At 44.9% G+C, this 19,469-nt stretch overlaps 1 protein-coding gene across 2 annotated transcripts in view; it reads right to left on the reverse strand.

Annotated features, from left to right (window-relative positions):
- The window catches only part of ALK (ALK receptor tyrosine kinase), a 728,813-nt gene that overhangs the window by 500,759 nt on the left and 208,585 nt on the right, over positions 1-19,469 (reverse strand). For both annotated transcript variants that reach the window (XR_001738688.3, NM_004304.5), the window contains exon 3: positions 1,318-1,482. Coding sequence is in view for 1 of the 2 variants with exons in the window: in NM_004304.5 (NP_004295.2) it covers positions 1,318-1,482 (165 nt within the window). In the remaining variant the exon portion in view is untranslated. The remainder of the gene's footprint in view (positions 1-1,317; positions 1,483-19,469) is intronic.

The raw sequence follows: 19,469 nt of genomic DNA on the forward strand, positions 1-19,469 counted from the left end.
AAACAAAAAGTCAGCCCAGGAAAGTGTATAGAAAGGAAAGTCTCTTTTGGTTCTTTGATGACAAGGTAGAGGCTGAGGTATAAGCCTGAGAGCATTAATTGTTTTTGTGCCACCTCCAATCTCCCTCATCAGCTTACCCAAGACCTGACCTGTTAGGCTCCCTAGTAGCATAAGCCTGAGATGAGATTCTCTCGAGAATCTGGCCACAGAGCAGGCTCTGGTCCTGGTCTTTCTACAAAGACAGAAGCATGATGTGGTGGAAAGTGCCCTTGTCTGGGACTCATCACAGCAAGTATTTAGACCCAGACCCACATGTACATTCTGTGTGATCTTGGGGCAGTCACTCCCCCGCTCTGAGCACTAGTTTTCTTATCTGCCCTGCCTCTCTCATTGAAATCCAATGAGACAGCGTAGGTGGGAGTGCTTTGCAAACTGAAAAAACTACCCTGAATGTCTAATAAGCCCATTGCCACTTCAGTTATTCCTTCTTCCAAAAAGCCAGGAACATAGGCTTTCAATTCTGAGTTAGTAGAGTTTTCTAGGTCCAAGACATTGGGAGTCCCAAGATTTGGCTTGGTGAGACATAAAACTAGACTAGAGCTTAGTGCCTTCATGTCTCTGTCTAAGAAACTCAGCACAATTTAACAATTTAACAGTTGCCCACTACTTTCCTCTGAGCCTACCTTTCCTAGGCCCTGATAATAAAGAAGGGGACATTCACAAACAGCTCAAGACCACAGGAAGCATCACACCAAGCAAATGTGTCGCCTGAGTATTTATGAACGGCTTAGAAACATTTAAGCCAGTTCTACAATACCTTCCAAATTAGGATTGCCAGATCTGGCAGTAAAAATAAACATGCAGGACACTCAATTACATTTGAATTGTTTTGTAAAATTGGAGTAGTTCTTAGTTTAAGTGTGTTCCAACTATTGCATGAGACACACTTGTACTAAAAAATCATTTGCTGTTCATCTGAAATTCAAATTTAATGAGGTATCTTGTATTTTATCTGGCAATCCCATTTCAAATACCGATCAGCACTTTCTCCTGCAGGGAAATCTGCATGGAAGAGAGTTATGAAACCCTACTTTTATTACTTGTTAAAGAATAAAGGTTTGGGCTGATCTTGAGATGGGACTTGTCTTCCTCCCCTCCTTGCATGGCCCAAGAAGCCATGGAAAGTCACAGATATTAAAAGCAGGTTTCAAAGTAAACAGAGCAGAACAGGAGTGAAGTCTCATCATTTCAAACAGAAATAGGTATTCCAGCCTGGCCCTGACCCACCCAGGACATCACCAGCAGCCTCTCCCTTACCTCTGGGCATCTCCTTAGAACGCTCTGCCCCAGGCCCATCCAGCAAGTCCATCTGGGAGGCCTCCTCGGAGGGGATGCGGCGCCAGGACCAGCTCTGGTTCCTGAGGTCATGCAGTGGAGGGGAATACTCCAGCTCACAGGGGAAGTCAAAGCTGCACTCCAGACCTGCAATAATAGCCAAGGGTCAATGGAAAAAACCATTTCCCAAACGTGACTTTTCAGCCCCCTCCACTCCACACTAGGAGGTTGGCCTTCATCTCCCCACATCCTTTGCCCTGTCCAAGGGAGATCAGTTGTCAATACCACAGGGCTCTGTATTGGTGAAAAGGGACCTAAGAGAATAAAATGTGCTCTTTCTGTAACTCATATTACGGGAGATGTTCTCAGAGAAGGCAGGTAAAAAACAAAGCTAACTAACAGGTTGAATGGTGAGAAGCTCTGCATCTTGTGAAGTTACCTGAAGACATAGAGAGGGCCTGAGGGTGAGTGGGCAGAGCCTTCCCAAGAAACCCATGAGGGCTGAGTCCAAGTCTGGCTCTGCTTTTACCAGCCCGGTGACTCCAAGCAAGAAAACTCACCTCTCTGACCCTTAATTCCCTCACCTGTACATTAGGCTGATAATTACCACTCAAGTTTGCCGTAAGAACTGGTGGTAAAACATACTGCCTAAGAACATGTAATGTATGTGCGGCTTACAACCTAGATGATGGGTCAGAGTGAACAGGCAACCTACAGAATGGGAGAAAAATTTTGCAATCTATCCACCTGACAAAGGGCTAATAACTAGAATCTACAAAGAGCTTAAACAAATTTACCAGAAAAAAAACAAACAACCCCATCAAAAAGTGGGCAAAGGATATGAACAGACATTTCTCAAAAGAAGACAGTTATGTGGCCAACAAACATATGAAAAAAAGCTCATCATTACTGGTCATTAGAGAAATGCAAATCAAAACCACAATGAGATACCATCTCACACCAGTTAGAATGGCGATCATTAAAAAGGAAACAGATGCTGGAGAGGATGTGGAGAAATAGAAATAGAAATGCTTTTACACTGTTGGTGGGAGTGTAAATTAGTTCAACCATTGTGGAAGACAGGGTGGCGATTCCTCAAGGATCTAGAACCAGAAATACCATTTGACCCAGCAATCCCCAGCAATCACCAGCAATCCCATTACTGGGTACATACCCAAAGGTTTATAAATTATTCTACTATAAACAGACATGCCTACATATGTTTACTGAGGCACTGTTCACGATAGCAAAGACTTGGAACCAACCCAAATGCCCATCAATGATAGACTGGATAAAGAAAATGTGGCACATGTACACCATGGAATATTATGCAGCCTTAAAAACGGATGAGTTCATGTCTTTTGCACGGACATAGATGAAGCTGGAAACCATCATTCTCAGCAAACTAACACAGGAACAGAAAACCAAATACGGCATGTTCTCACTCATAAGTGGGAGTTGAACAATGAGAACACATGGACACAGGGAGAGAAACATTACACACCAGGGCCTGTCGAGGGGTGGGGGACTAGGGAAAGAATAGCATTAGGAGAAATACATAATGTAGATGAAGGCTTGATGGGTGCAGCAAACCACCATGGCACGTGTATACCTATGTAACAAACCTGCATGTTCGCACATGTATCCAAGAACTTAAAGGATTAAAAAAAAAAAAAAAAAAAAAAAGAATTCCAGATGGCCTAGGAACTTCAGCATGCTTTGCAGAGGAGGATAAGGCCTGCACAAAACCAGAGCAAACCAGAACCAGTGGCCCCTGTCACCTTTAGATCATTAGCGTATCATTATAATGCAAAAGTCCCCACCCATAGAAGAGAATCACTGCCACTTTCTGCACACGTGTCGTATGAAGAGCATGTTCCTGATCTGCACCTGCGTGTCTGAAGTTCTTCCCAACACAAGCTTACATAGCCCCTGACCCACGTCTAACCCTGTAACATTCCCCAGCTTCCCACTGCTCTGGGAGAAGCTGTCTTTAGAGCAAGTGCTCTCTCCTTCTCCATGCCTGGCCAGAAATAAAACCTGCTTGCCCTTTTCCCTAAAAAAAAAAATAAAATAAAATAAATAAAAACAATAAAAAACCCTAGGTGATGGGTTGATAGGTGCAGCAAACCACCATGGCACACATATATCTATGTAACAAATCCATATGTTCTGCGCTTGTATCCCAGAACTTAAAGTAAAATAAAAAATAAAATAATAAATAATAAAAAAGTACTGCCTATGAAAAATGGACCTGGTCCATATTTGATGCTCTGAAAAATGCTAGCCAGGCCCTGTCCTTTCTGATTGATAAGGGAAAGGCCATAGGTAACTGGAATTTCCTCACAGCCTGCTTTGCCAGCCCTATAATCTACCCTTCGATCTCCTCTCCAGAGAAGAGGGCCAAGGCTATGACAATGAGTCAGGGTTTATTTTCTCTTGGGGAGTGTTTGGGGAGGGTCATTGGGTAAGGAGAGAGAGAAAAGAGAGGCAGGAAGGGCCCATGCCCTGGGATGTTTTGTACTTTGTTGAGCTTCCCTGGGCAGACTCTTTCTGTCCAATGATTCCACGTTTGCCCCACTTTTAGGGTACATGGGCCACTCAGCTTTTCTTCCCCTTCCTTGCTCATTGTCCACTCCCCAAAGTGGCTGAAGAACTTTGCCATGGCGGGCTCTCAAAGCTGGCTTATGGATTAACAGAAGATGCCAAGATGCAAAATGTTCAACCACCTCTTACTTCATCCTCTCCCCGAAGCCGTGGGAATAAGAAAAAATGGGATAATGTGATAGATATTGGACAGACAATATGAGGAATTCAGTTTGAGTCCAGGCATGACTAGTTACCTCTCATGTGTGAACTTTGGTTTTCTCACCAAAAGAAACCAAAAGCTGTTAAAGCAGTGCATTTTAACAGCTGCTTCTGAGGCTACTACTACCCCAATCTCCAAGACAATTCTGGTGTTGGAAATTTCAGAATACAGTGGGGGCAGATTCTAAGGCAGGCAGCCGGCCACTGGATTGTCTCCCAATGGGTGTCCACACCCATAGACAGCTGGCCCTGCTGCAGAGTGGGAGCAAAATATTCCTGTTAACACTAACCAAACTATTCAATTGTAGGAGAAAAGAAAAAAATCCTTCAATTACACTTCTATTGAGTGTCTTTCTGCTCCTCAGCTGCTTTCCAGGAGCTGCCATCCTTCTGGCCCTAAGGTTAATACTCCTTGCCCTTTCACGATTCAGACAACTTGCCTTCATAGTGGCAAGCTGAAATGGGTAGCTCTCACTTTGTTTGAGTTGATAAGCCACTTGCTCTACAGTTGGTGTCCAGGAACCACAGGCTGCCTTAATCTTCAAGATGTGCTTGAAGACACCTGGTTTTCAGAGCAGACTGCAAAGAGAAAACTGGTCCAACATTTTGTACTTTGCAACACCAAAGTGACATAGGAAGGATTAGCCATGAAACATGACTAATAAGGAGAGGCGTAGCCATGAAATGTAACTCCTCTAGGGAGGGTCAAAAAGACACATCCACATTGGTGGATGTTCATGTCAGTAAAAAGGTGAGAAAGCCACCAGCCACTCCCATCCCACATTGACAATTATCAGTGCCTTTCCCAAAGCTTCGACTTCTGCGGCCATCCCCTACCTTGATTTTTCTCTTCCAATGAAAGATGACCTGTTTCTATTCAAGACAGAGGTGAGGCATGCCAACTGTCTGAGTTGTGTCCTGCCTGGCAAATGTGCCCTACATGTGTATACAACAGACAGACAGTGCAATATACAATCCCAGCACCGAGCATATTAATTCTTGGATCTTTGAACTCTGGAGAGTTTAAGTGTGATAATTGGCTGTGTTTGGGCCAGATCCTGCCTAGTAAAACAGGCTATGCAAATGTACCGATTAAAATGCGTTCCTTCTGTAATTCTTAGTCCGCAGCAACCTCCTTTTAGCTGTTAAAGCTGTACTTTCTAGCTTTAAATAGGAATGGAGTTAATATTACTACTCATTTGGTTGAAACTGAATTAGGCTTTTCTACATTCTGATTTAATTTCTTACAAAACATGGAGACACAGGTTTTTCTCACTCAAACTAGCCTCAGTGCCTCTTGGGCAATAATACCTTGGGACTTGCCTAAAACACCAGGTTAAGTCTTATTTTCCTTGGGCCTCTTCCGAGGTTCTAGACCTAGTGTGCTTCTTGAATCTCTCTCCTTCACCCTCTTCCAACTCAGTGCCTATGAGGTAGAGACTGTAGAATCTATTTTACAGGAGGGATTCAGAGGGGTCTAGGGCTTCAGCACAGTGCTCAGCCTTAAGCAACCCAACCGCAGAGGCAGGTCCACACCCACCCAGGGGCAGGGGTGGGAAACTACCTTCCCTCAGCCCCTCCTGGCGGTCTTCCACGCACTGTCCTGGGTGTTTTCCTTCCATCACTGTACCTCATCTGCAGAACAACACTGAGAAGTGGACGGTTTCTTCTTCTCTCTATAGGTGAGGAAGCTGAGGCTTAAAAAGTTTTCTTGCCCCCAAATGAAAGGACTACCCCAAGGCAGACCCAGAGAGTGACCTAGAACTGGATAATGCAGAATATCCAGTGTTGTTCATCTCTCTCCTGCAGCTTCAGAATCTCAATTTAGGGCTGAAGATTAATTTACACAATAGATGAGAAACCAATGAAGTGTTTTATCTTGGTTACTCTTAGACCCAAAGCCTGTAAACTTTTCATATCTGAAAAGCCTTCTTCATGATAGGGGACAGATCTATATTTTCTAAATGTCAGGCCCATTTTGCAGAATGACTATGACCTTCAGGAGGATCCAGAGATCTTGACCTTTTTTTGTTTTAACCCAAGAGAATCTGACCATTGAAAAAGAGCATTGAGAAAAAGACACACTTTCCAGGACCTGCCTATCACATATGTGAAATCATTGTCACTTACTTTCTTGTTATTTCCATCATGGAAGAAAGGTAAGGTAATGGAACCTTCTGGAAAAGATCTGCCAGCTGAGAGGAGCGTCAAGTGCTATGAAGGGAAAGGGCTCTAGCAGAGCAGTGAGGATGGTTCTGGGCTTGGTCCTGCACAGAGCAGCTGAGACCCCAGCAGGTCTATTTCTGTCTCTAGGCCTGTTTCTTTGCATTTGGAAGATGAAAGAAATGGAGCATGTACCCTCCATGGTGCCATTCATCTCTGAAGGTCAGTGATTCTATAGGCTTACCCTGGGCCGACACAATCAAACCTACAGACCACTCAGCCTGCCTCTGCTCAGGAGATGCTGCCCCTAAACAAGGACTTGTTGTCATCCCAAGAGGCAGATTTCCTATGGAAGAAGGGTGAATGTACATCACACTCAATGGGGACTTGGTTTGCCTCCAGATTCTCAAAGAATTAAAAAGCTTGGCTGGGTGCAGTGACTCACGCCTGTAATCCCAGCACTTTGGGAGGCCCGGTGGGTGGATCACCTGAGGTCGGGAGTTGGAGATCAGCCTGACCAAAATGGAGAAACCCTGTCTCTACTAAAAATACAAAATTAGCCAGGTGTGGTGGTGCATGCCTGTAATCCCAGCTACTTGGGAGGCTGAGGCAGGAGAATGGCTTGAACCCGGGAGGCGGAGGGTGCGGTGAGCCGAGACCCCACCATTGCACTCCAGCCTGGGCAACAAGAGAGAAACTCCATCTCAAAAACACAAAAAGGAAAGCTTATGTGAGTTTTGCACATAATAGTTGCAGGATGAACGAGTGAGTGTGTGTGCACACACCTGCATGTGTGTGTGTGTGTTCATGCATTTTTATCATCTGATACTCACTTCCTGAAATCTCCCAGTATATGAATCACATTTTTAAAGACTGAATTCATTAACAATTAGCTTCTAGACATTGTTTTAGTATGAAGCACAGCCATTCAGGAAAATGTTGTGGTAAGTATCAGAAAACCACGGTGGTGACCCTGCCCAAAGACATACCCAGTCTCCCTTATCAAAACCCCCTGGCTGTAGAAGAGTTGTCAATGACAAACCACCTTGAACACTCTGAACCTGAGGGTGGAAATATAGCCTCTAGGAATGTGTGAGACTCCCAAAGCAGTCAGGCCCAAGGCCTGTGCCTAGGAAGCCCAGCATTGGTTACTCAGGCAGAGATGGAGGCCTTCCAACCGGGGCCATGTACCAGGCCGAGACACTCAAGGAGATTGCATGTAGGTTCCAGCTATTCTCCATAACACCACAAAAGGGGAATAGGGAGCTTGGTGCATTTTGGACACTTGGGTCTCCTCTTGAGTGGGCTCAGAATATCTAACAATGCTCCTTTGTATCCAGACTGACCTCAGATTTCCCCAGAATCCCTTGGATCAAGGCCCTTTATGCCTCCTTAACCTTGAGCCTGTTAACCCAGAGACTAGTTTCCTAAATCCTACTAGTTTTCTAAATCACCTTGGGTCAGTTTCAAGGTAGAGGACCAGCAGCTCCCCTTAGTTTTAAAGACATCCCCTCCAACATTGCCCAGTTTCCAGGTGAATGTAGGGTGGCAGGGCCTTAAAGGGCAGCCCCCTGGGGCAGGTCCACATCAGCCCCTTGGATGAGGCCTTGCAGCCTCAGGCCACCGTGAGCTTTGGAAGCAAATACTGCAGAATGAAAGGAAGAGTCATAAAAAAGAGAAGAATGCCATGCCCATCAATTCCATAACACTTCATCCTTCTTGATTTTGTCTCTTATTATGAAGTAAAGCTGGAGGTCTTACTTTCTTGTTCCTGGCAACGCATGCTGTAGTGTGTATAGAAGAGCCCTGACCCCCATGGAGAGGACTTCTGTGAAGGCGTGTGGGAAGTGTATTCATAAGTAATAACACTCGCCAAGGACTCACTGGGGCTGGTCACCATGCCAGGCACCTTACATGATCATCTTATTTAATCCCTATGAATTAGGCAGGATTCTTATCTCCATTCAACAGATGAAGGCATTGGAGCTCAGAGAAGTGAAGTCACATCTGATGTTACTCAGATAGGAAGGGGCTATGTGGTCTTTTACTGATGTGTTTCCTTCCTGTGAGTCCTGAGGCCCTGATTTCAGTAGGTCACAAATGGGATTGCCAATAGAAAAGGCAGCAGACATAGCTTCCCTCATGTAGAGCCACAGACATGGACATGTCTGTGGCTGCAGTGAGGCAGGAAACAGTGTACGAGCTCCACAAGTGAGGCAGAGCTGACAGCCACTGACTCTGAAAGTATCACCTAAAGGCAATGCCAACCTTACTGTGGTGCAACAAAATACTAAAGAAATGGTCATGGTCATGTGCCATCAACTCCTTCAAAATGACAATTGAAATACTATTTCTCAGGATGGACAGGAGGCTGTGCTGAAAAAAAAAGGCATGGTATGCAAATTCTGAATCAGCCAATGTGCTGATTTAGAATCTCGATATTCTAAATGGCCACACTTCATACTACAACAATGTACAAGCTCTACAAGTGAGGCAGGAAAGGACCTGGGCCCAGAGAGGGAAAGGCAGGGCAAAGCTGGGGGCAGGACAGGAGCCAGAGTGTCTTCGCTATCTTGAAGGTTCTGATATGACCTATAAAGTTGGGCCTGGGATGCCCTAGGTGAGGACTGAGTCAGAGGACACATCACCAAGATCTAAGTCTGAATCTCAGTGGGTGTACGGCTCAGGAAGCCAAAGCCACAAGTGCAATAAAGCCCAGGGCTTAAAGTTCCCTTCTAGGTTTCTTGATTGTATTAGTCTGTTCTCATGCTGCTAATAAAGACATACCAAGACTGGGTAATTTATAAAGAAAAAGAGGCTTAATGGACTTAAAGTTCCACATGGCTGGGGAAGCCTCACAATCATGGCAGAAAGCGAAAGAGGAGAAATGCACATCTTACATGGCAGCAGGCAAGAGTGTGTGTGCAGGGGAACTGTCCTTTATAAAACCATCAGATCTCCTGAGATTTACTATCATGAGAACAGCACAGGAAAAAGCTGCCCCCACGATTCAATTACGTCCCACTGGGTCTGTCCCATGACATGTAGGGATTATGGGAGCTACAATTCAAGATGTGATTTGTGTGGGAACACAGCCAAGCCATATCACTGATGTCTTCCAGAATATGTGCTGTGTTTCTTGGGTCTGATTGGGATCCCAGTTTAGAAAACTGAGGGTGGGTGGGCAAAGTTTCTGTGGCCATCAGGATGTATCTGTTTTCAGAAGGGGCCTATAAGAATTCATTTAACTGAATACTTGGTCAATGGGATCTGCATCTGAAAACAGAATTATCGGGCTTGCCACTCACTTAAAATATGACAATATGATTGTGATTTTGTATTGGGGTTATTTTCCTGCTAAAAATGCTTTTCTGTCTCCAGTTATCTTGACTTGATGTCTAACTACTGGGATACAGAGCCTGACGCTGGGCCTGACTGTCCTCACTTGTTGAATGGTGATGTCTGTGATACCAATCAGTCGTACAATCTTTTCCCATATGTCTATGGCCATATGTCTTATTCATCAAGTGACCTTAATATTGTCATGAATGATTCACAGGAATAGAGCACAAGACTTGAGATTTGACTCTAATTCTGCCATTTGTCAGCTCTGTGATATGGGACACTGCTTTGTGCTAAGCCTCAGTCAGGTCATCTCAGTGAGAAGCCTCATTTCCCAGAACTGCTGAAAGGGCTTAAGATGATGAGGCATGTGCTTAGAATGGAGAAATTCCCAAAGCACATTGGCTGATTCCGAATTTGCATAACCATGCCTTTTGTGAACACAGCTTCCTGTTCATCCTGAGAAATAGTATTCCAATTGTCAATCTGAAGGAGGTGATGGCACATGACCATGACCATTTCTTTAGGATTTTGTTGTACCAAAGTAAGGTTGGCATTGCCTTTAGGTGACATTTGCAGTCAGAGGCTGTTAGAACTTTAAGAAACATTTGAGGTCAACCATTTCTTCACTGGAGAAGTGAAAAAAAGCAAGACCCAGGCAAGGGAAAATACTGACTTAGGGCCACGCCACTGATTAATGAGTCCTTCACATACAGTGTGGAGGGCATTTCTCCTGGTTGCAGAAGTCTTTCTGAATGTCACCTCTTCAGGGAACACCAGACGGGAGCTGGTCAGACGTACTGAACCACCAGCTGTCATGCATCCTCAGGCTTCACTTACTGGCCCCTCCAGCTGAGACTGGTTTTCTTAATGGCATAGGAAAATGCCAATGTATTCCTGACAAGCCTGGTTAAGTGTCTTCAATAAAGAACCATATGAAACATCATGCATACACGGCAATTCTCTTACAGCTGGCCTTTAGAGAGATCTACACGTAAAGCTACATTTCATTAAATGGAACCCCAGAAATTAGCATTCTTAAAACACTGTCAGTCCTTAAAGATTGTACCCAGCTCAAGGGAACTCTCTCAGTGGCCACTAATCTTGAGGCACAGGGAGGATCCTCTTTGCTCGAGGGATTCATCAGAATGTCCCAAATGTAGGCCTTCAGAGTCATGAGGGACCTTGGAGACCTCTGAGAGGAAGGGAAAGGCTGGAGAATGATGGGGATCATCAAAGAATGCACAGTGGCTGGTTGCAAGGCTGGTACTAAAATTCTGTTTCTAATCCTGTGATTGTTATTATTATAATTATTCAAAGCTGTGTATAACAAAAAACAATATCTTAAACAAGTAGAAAAATTCTGAAAAATCCTATTTTTTTCTTGAATAAATTGGCAAAAACATATATGGCTACGTTTCAAATATCTCCCAATGATCAGATGGCTCAACTCACCTCCAATAAAGCTTTTTGGGTTGTCTCCTCCTGCATGTATTCTTCTGCCAACAAACTGCTTTTTGATGGTTGCTGGAAGCTCCCTGCTGGTGAGCAGGTCTGTTCTCAGGCCAGGAGCCACAGTGAGAACAGGGTGGGGGAAAGCATGGGGCCAGAAGCAAAGGGGAAAGTTCACTAGAGAATTCTTAGGAAGCCTCCCAGCTCCAGGCGCATCAGCCTTGTGCTTGGGGCAATTCATTTAACCACTTGAGTCTTGGTTTTCTCATGGATAAACCAGGGAGAATTATCACACTAATGATTTTGATAAAAATAATATAAATACCTGTAATCCCAGCACTTTGGGAGGCCAAGGCGGATGGATCACTTGAGGTCAGGAGTTCGAGACCAGCCTAGCCAACATAGTGAAACCCCGTCTCTACTAAAAATACAAAAATTAGCCAAGCGTGGTGGCTGGTGCCTGTAATCCCAGCTGCTCGGGAGGCTGAGGCAGGAGAATCGCTTGAACTCGGGAGGCAGAGGTTGCAGTGAGCCGAGATTGTGCCACTACACTCCAGCCTGGGTGACAGAGTGAGACTCCATCTCAACAAAAAAAGAAAAGAAAAGAAATATATATATATATATATATATATATATATATATATATATAAATATATATCTGCTGTGATGATTGCATAAGGTAATGAATGTCGCCATGCTTTCAAAACCCTGAGATACCATATATTAATAGATGGATACTCTTACCACCTTGGCCCTGTGATGCAGACACAGCACTGTGTCTTCCTCTGCCTCAGATTTACCACCAGGAACCTGGGGATGAACTGACCTGACTTGACCTTGGAGGACCCAGGGAGAAGCAGGCTAGAACAGACATCCTTCTTTCCTTGCCCTATTTTATATCAACCTCTCAGGGGGCTGGGAGAGGCACCAGAGTGTCTGGGGAGGCATTGCAGGGAGTAACTGCAAGCACAGATCCTGCATGAGGTCAGGCTCCCAAGTTGGAAATTTGGCTGTGCCATTACTAGCTCCACATGTCAGAGAAAATTAATCCCTTTGTGCCTCAATTTTTTCAACTGAAAAATAAGAATTAAAGCAGGGACCACCTCCTGGAATTGTGAGGAGGGTGAAATGCAATAGTGTATGTTGAGTGCCCTGCATGGTGACTTGCACACAATTTGGCCTTATTTAATGATGCGCGTCATTGCTGTTACTCTTTAAGTGTCTCCAGGAGTCAGCAATGGCAGAGAGCACATAAGAGGGAGTATATCCAGCACAGCAGGAAGAAAACTTTGTTTCAAGCCCTGTTTCAGCTGGAAGCATAAAAGGAAAAGGGGTGGAGAAACGTGTGCTCCTCTCTCAATATTTCCTTTGCGATGGCTGATTGAGCTTGCCTTTGGAAGACCTCCAGCGAGATGATCTGGGTTCTAGCTCTGGCTCTGTGATATAACTTCACACAAGTCACTTAAGCTTTCCAGACCTCAGTGTCCTCATCTGTAAAATGGAGTGGGGGAATAAAATGATTCTCAGGTCTCTTCCATCTCTACCATGCTAAGAATAATTGCCCCTTTGGGCAGGTGGCCAAAATAAACTCTCTAACTTCACTCTAGCCAGCTGGTCAGCAGGAACCCAGGGGGCCTGACTTCCAGCCCAGGCTCCGATGATTAGGGACTGTGGCTCCCCCTTTCTGGATTATCTCCTTGGCTCACCAGTCACCTTTGTTATTAATCCACCAGCTGCCATCAACATCTGGTCACTTGCTTCATAACACTAAGTATCCAACCTGGCCCCTACCCCCTCTGCCCACAACCACTGTTCATTTGTCATAGAGCCCCAGAACTTGAAACCATTCACTTCCTTCCCACCAGCCTGCTCCCTGGAATGCATCTGGGAACCAATCACCCAATTCAAGACATCTGTTTAGCTCACTTATAATCAAGCTGAAGAGAAGAAGGGCCAAGTCTCCTTCCATCAATCAATTACATGAACACAGCCTCAGAGGGCAGTGTGTGTGCGCACGTGCACATGTGCACACTGCAGTGGGAGATACACACGGAAAGCTGAATTCTTATTTCTCTTATCTGTGACCATTACTATGTTACAGATAGAAAAACAGGACTCTGCTCTTAATCATAGAACAGAAAATTGAAAATAATTAATTCTGAGGTTAACTAGCTCAGCTTCTTCATTTTATAGATGGGAAAATTAAGGCTCAGAAGAGTGAAGGGACTTGGCCAAGGTGGCATGGCCTAGGGCTTGGAGCAGTAAGAGAGTTGAGACCAGAACCCAGATTGGACTTCCAGTTTAATTCTCTGCTTGCAATTTCCAGGAAACACTCATGCAGAATGTGTGTGTGTGTGTGTGTGTGTGTGTGTGTGTGTGTGTGTGTGTGTGTGTGTGTTGGGTAAGGAAGTCTCTAACAGAATGAAGCAGGCTCCAGAGGGCATGGTGAAATCCTTAGCAGTTGTATCACTGCTCAATATGACATCTGTCTAAATGGGTTTATTCCTGAAACCAGAAGGCTGGAGATGAACTCTGAGCAATGTGGCATCCATGACAACAGGAGAAGCCTGGTGGTTAAGGGAGACCCCAGAATATGCAGACGGACCTCCCCACTTACTCTTCTGTCTCTAAAGAGACAGGACCTACTGGGTGTTAATGTGAACATGGGGTTCCATTCCTCCCTGTTTTCAAACACAGGAAGGTACCAGACTGCCCGAGCACAGACCTTCTACCCTTCAGGGAAGGGTCCCAGTCCAGTTGGGGGATGAACTTGCCCATACCTAACTCTAAGAGGCCTCAGGGAAAACAGAACAAGGGAGGCTCTTTGCCTGGGAGGACCAAAGGTCCACAGAAAAAGCAACTGCTGGGCTGCATCTTGAAGGATGAAACAATTTGAACAGATAGTAAGGGTTTGGCTAGGAAGTTTGCTAAGAACAGAGGAGGAGATAAGGTTATTCTAGGCAGGTGAAGAACTGATATTGCTTAATTCAGTATAGTTGTATAAATTTTGAAGCTGAACTGCATGAATTAAATCCCAGCTCAAATACTAGTGTGATTAAAGGCAAAATGCTTTCAAGTTCCAGAGGGCAAAACTAGGGACTTAAAAGAGTTTTAAGCAAGAGGCTTAGAGCAAATGGAGCCATGCCACCAAAACCCACCTTTTGCTGTGCCCTGGGCACATTCAGATCTGTCGTCATGTCCTCATAATAATGCTGTCAGTTGGTAATCCTGATCACCTCCACTTTAAAGATGACATAGACAACCAAAAGGAGTAGGTAGTGGCTGAAGGTAATACAACTCACAAGAATCAGAGCTGGGAATTCATTCCACATCTCAGATTCCCAAGATGAGTTTTCCCCACTGTGGTTCCATGTGTTGCTTTCAGGCAGAGGCTGGAAGACCTTTTGTTGGGATGTTACAGAGGAGATTGACTGACTGATTGATTTAATTTTTGAGATAGAGTTTCGCTCTGTCACCCAGGCTGGAGTGCAATGGTGCAGTCTCAGCTCACGGCAACCTCCATCTCCTGGGTTCAAGCAATTATCCTGCCTCAGCCTCCCAAGTAGCTGGGATTACAGGTGCCTGCCACCATGCCCGGCTAATTTTTTGTAGTTTTAATAGAGATGGGGTTTCACCATCTTGGCCAGGCTGGTCTGGAACTCCTGATCTCAGGTAATCCACCCACCCTGGCCTCCCAAAGTGCTGGGATTACAGGCATTAATCACCGTGCCTGGCCCAGAGAAGATTTAAACAGGCAATGCAGAGGTGAGTTAAAGCCCTAGGATTACCAGACCTAGTTCTCTAGTCCAGTGAATACCCTCACCAGAATCCTGTTTTTAAGGTGCTCTCCAAGTGACTATGAGGCAACTAGACTGAGTGTGGCCATGTGTTCATCTACACCAGGAAGGCCCTGACCCCACACTGAGGCAATCTGTGGGGCAGCAAAACTCTGCTGGGCTGGAAACCCAAGGTATTCAAGGGATGAGTTGTGTAAAGCAACAGATGGGACTGAAATGTGAGAAAATACTTTGTGAGCCATCTTATTGAGAAGAAAATGAACCCTTGCCTCTATGGTAGAGAGGTTAGGTGTGGGCTCTGCCAAGCAGATGGCCTGGGTTTGAATCTCTGCTTTGCTGCTAGTCCTGGGGAGATCACTAACCTCTCTAGGCCTGTTTCCTCATCCTACAGATGTGGCTATTTGATCAGACCACAGAAGGCCCTGACAGCTCACAATTTCTATGAACTTCTCATAGACCAAATTATTCTAGTCATCTACCCAAATGGGCTGGTTCAAGTCCTGTGAATTGGAGGTCTCTTCTGACACAAAGTTTTGCACCTGAGGTTGCTCTCGACAAAACATTTTAAGAGGATTTTCTCTCATTTTTCTCACTCTTGATCAGTCCTTTTCCTGAACATGTTTTGGACACACGTCTTTCTAGGTTGGTTAGAAGTGCTCTGTATACAGTATCTCAGATGTCCCAAAGCTGTCAAAAGAGAAATTCCTCAGCTCACTCATGTCTGCTGAATATGCTTTTTTATGTTAAGAAAAGAAAAAAAGCAAGCCTGCTCAAAGTAGTTAAAATCACATCTTTGAATCCTCAACCAAATTAAGTCCAGCTCAGGAACTGGTCTCCCCCTCAGACACATTTCTTTCCTGAAACTGATTAATATGACTAGAAATGAGAGGGCTGGTGGGAATGTCCCTGCCCTTTAATAAAACAGAGAACTTTGGGGGCTGAAAGGCTGTAGGTTGGGAATTGGGAGACCTCAGTTTGCTCCTCATTTGTCCCTGAACTGCTGAGCAGACATTGCCATTACTTCTATTGAGTACACAATGAGTACACAACATGAGAGAAGTACTAGGTGTGCAAAAGGAAACAAGATGTGAATTCCTTGACGTTTAAATGCTTAACGTCTAGGAAGAGTGATAACGCAGGACCACAAATAACTAAGACACAAGGAAAAGTGTGACATCAGAGGCACCAAGTAGCGGGGAGACACATAAAAATTTTCTCCATGAGAATATGGGGATAAAGTGAGGTCCACCACCTCCCAGACTGTTCTAATTTGGGGTTATAGTGCGGTCACCAGCTGCTGGTTGTGAATACTTGCTATATGGTATCCAAAAGGAAGCTCTATTAAATCCAAGAGCCATGTCATGTCTGCTAAAAATGAGCAAACCTTCCTATTAGGTACTGATGGTTCATTAGACCCAGAGAGAGATTCTGTCTCCACAGAACTGATTGGAATGTTGGGGGTATCACACATGCATACAACATTCCTTCATCTAAAAATTCCTCACTTCCTTGGCTTTGCTGTTGATATGATTTGTCTGTGCCCCCACCCAAATCTCATCTTGAACTGTAGCTCTCATAATTCCCACGTACCATGGGAGGGACCCTGTGCAAGGTAATTGAATCATGGGGGCAGGTCTTCCGCATGTTGTTCTCATGATAGTGAATAGTCTCATGAGATCTGATAGTTTTATAATGTGGAGTTCCCCTGCACATGCTCTCTTTGCCTGCCACCATGTAAGATGTGGCAAGAGGTAAGCACATCTTACTTACCACAAAATGCTCCTCCTTGCCTTCTGCCACGATTGTGAGGTCTCTCAAGCCATGTGGAACTGTGAGTCAATTGAACCTCTTTCCTTTATAAATTACCCAGTCTCAGGTTTGTCTTTATTAGCAGCATGAGCACAGACTAACACAGGTGACTATACCATCTCCTGGTTCTCCTCCTGTCTCCCATTTCTTCATCTCTCTGTTTCATGCTCCTCTTCCTCTGCTTACCTCTCAAATGAAACATCCTGGATCTCCTCTGGGTCTTCAACCTCCAATCACCAGCTTCAACCTCAGTCTGTGTGCGTGTGTGTGTGTGTGTGTGTGTGTGTGTGTGTGTATGATGGAGTCTCGTTCTGTCACCCAGGCTGGAATACAGAGTCACACTCTCGCCTCACTGCAACCTCTGCCTCCCAGGTTCAAACGATTCTCCTACCTCAGACTTCCAAGTAGCTAAGGCTACAGGCACATGTGCACCCAGCTAATTTTTGTATTTTTAGTAGAGACAGGGTTTCACCATGTTAGCCAGGCTGGTCTTGAGCTCCTGACCTCAGGTGATCCACCTGCTTGGCCTTCCAAATTGCTGGGATTACAGGCGTGAGCAACTGTGCCTGGCCTCAACCTCAGTCTTGCTGCTAATAACTCTCCATCCACTTCTCTCCTCAAAGCCAAGACCTGGGTTTACAGCTCTCTACTGGCCATCTTCACCTGGCTGTCTTGAAGGCATTTCAAATGTAACTTGATTACGGTGGATCTCACCACATTTCCTCCTCCCTCTAGATGTCTTGGTCAACATCTTTCCTTGCCAAATGTTTCTCTTCTCTGTTCCAGTCAATGACATCTTCATCCACTCAATTACTCAAGGTGGATTCTCCTGAATAGGAAACCAAGTGGTGCTCACCTTATATCCAGAATCTCTTCCAGATTCTCCTCCTTCCCTTTCTTTTCCATCCTATGCCTCATATGTAGGACCATGCCCAACTCCTGAGCATTCTCAGAGTAACTGTCTCTCCAGCCTCACCCCAGGTCCTCTACAACCTTTGCCACAGAGCTTGACCTGTTCCCAAACACCTTTGCACATGCATCCCTTTTGTCCAGAACACTCTTCTCCTGACTCTCTGTGTTCCCTAGAGTCCAAGGTCCAGTTCAGCTGCCGCAGTCTCCAAAACATCTCCCTTCTTGAGTCCTCTACAGACCTGGTCCTCCCTCCTCTGTGTTCCTGGGCCTCTGTTACTGCATTTGTCAAAGAGCAGGTATGCTTACCTCTTCCCCCAGAGCTCCTTGAGGGAAGCAAATGTGTCCTATTTGTCTTTATCACTGACATGTCTAGAGCACAACTAAGCATACACTCGGCACTCCACGACTGTTGACATCCCTTCTCCCATTCTCTGTGTTGGTGGAGACGTGCTAAGGGGGAAATGATGCAGGCAGGGTGGGGGTTGTGGGAGGGCCTCTGAAGGGGGAAGTCAAGACTGAAGCAAGCACTAAGGAGCCACCTGCCCAGGGGTGAGAGCTGAACCATGTCAACGGGAAAAAGAATAAATGAAAAGGCAGTCAGAGAGCCAAGGGCGACCCCTACTTTTGTGTCTTTCTCTCTCTTTCCCTGTGTGTCTCTCTCTGTCTCTGTCCCCTTCCCCTCATCATCTGTTTCCCTTTGTCAGTGTCTGTCCCACTTTGTGAAAAGTGTTTTGAATGGATCTTTTCTGACTTGTTTTTCTCACCTTTGTGTCACATGGTCATTCATTCTCTTATTATATTTTATTCTGACGTTTTTTCTTTCTGCATTTCCTTACTCAACTTGCCACCAACATAGAGATAAATTGTTCATATTTATGAATGGCTCTATGTGTCTTTGTTTTAAAGAGATATGACCAAGAGGAGCATTTTAAACATGTCTCTCCTCGAAACACCTAAGGCAACTCCTTTATATTGAATTTCCATGGATTGAGTATATTGGCTCCCAGCAGGTCAGGGCCCTCCAGGTGATAGGTGGTCCCTGATCCTTGGTCTTGTGTGACTGCCAGCATTACTGTCCCCTTTGGGACTCAGACTTTGTGGTGAATGCATGCAGAGATCTTTTGCTTATCAAGCTTGTAGATGAAAATACAGAGGCATGAGCTAGGAAAGAGCTTGACCCCCTAGCTCAGTGGAGCAAGGCTAGGAAGAGAACACAAAAAGACCTGGCCTGGAAGGGGCAGAGGAGTTGGTAAGGAAGCTTTCAGCCCTGACAACAGTCCACAAGGGAGCTGCTTTTCACTGACACCAGTGCTCCTGAGGACCAGAATGGCTGATCACAGCCAGCCACATTAAATACGTAATTTCAGAAATGCGATCAAACTGACTTCCTGCCAGAGCTATGAAGCAAATCCTATACAGAGCCAGAGGTCCTTTGTGTTTTCCATTTTTGATTCTGTGTTAGGCTGATTTTTTTTTTTTGAGAGAGAGATATTTAATTTACCTAGTCTTTTCAATCAAAGAAATTGATACATTAACAGGATGGGTGGTGATGGTGGCAGTGGCAGGGAAAGTAATTAAAAAGTCTAATTTTTCTTTCTAAAAGCACCAGCCCCTGAACTGGATAGGTCTCCTTGGACTGGAAAGCAGACAAAGTTTGAATAAAACTTTTATTCAAATCTAACAATTATTTTGTTGTGCTTAGATGTTGGGATGTTGGGAAGAATATTTTCTTTTCCAGGAGCCAATGTTTTGGACATTAGGGGGCTGGATCAGCTTCTTAGGGCAGTCATAACAAAGTACCATCAACTGGGTGGCTTAAAATAACGGAAATTTATTTTCTCACAGTTTTGG

The sequence above is a fragment of the Homo sapiens genome, chromosome 2 (assembly GCF_000001405.40).
Source record: "Homo sapiens chromosome 2, GRCh38.p14 Primary Assembly".
Lineage (NCBI taxonomy): Eukaryota > Metazoa > Chordata > Mammalia > Primates > Hominidae > Homo > Homo sapiens.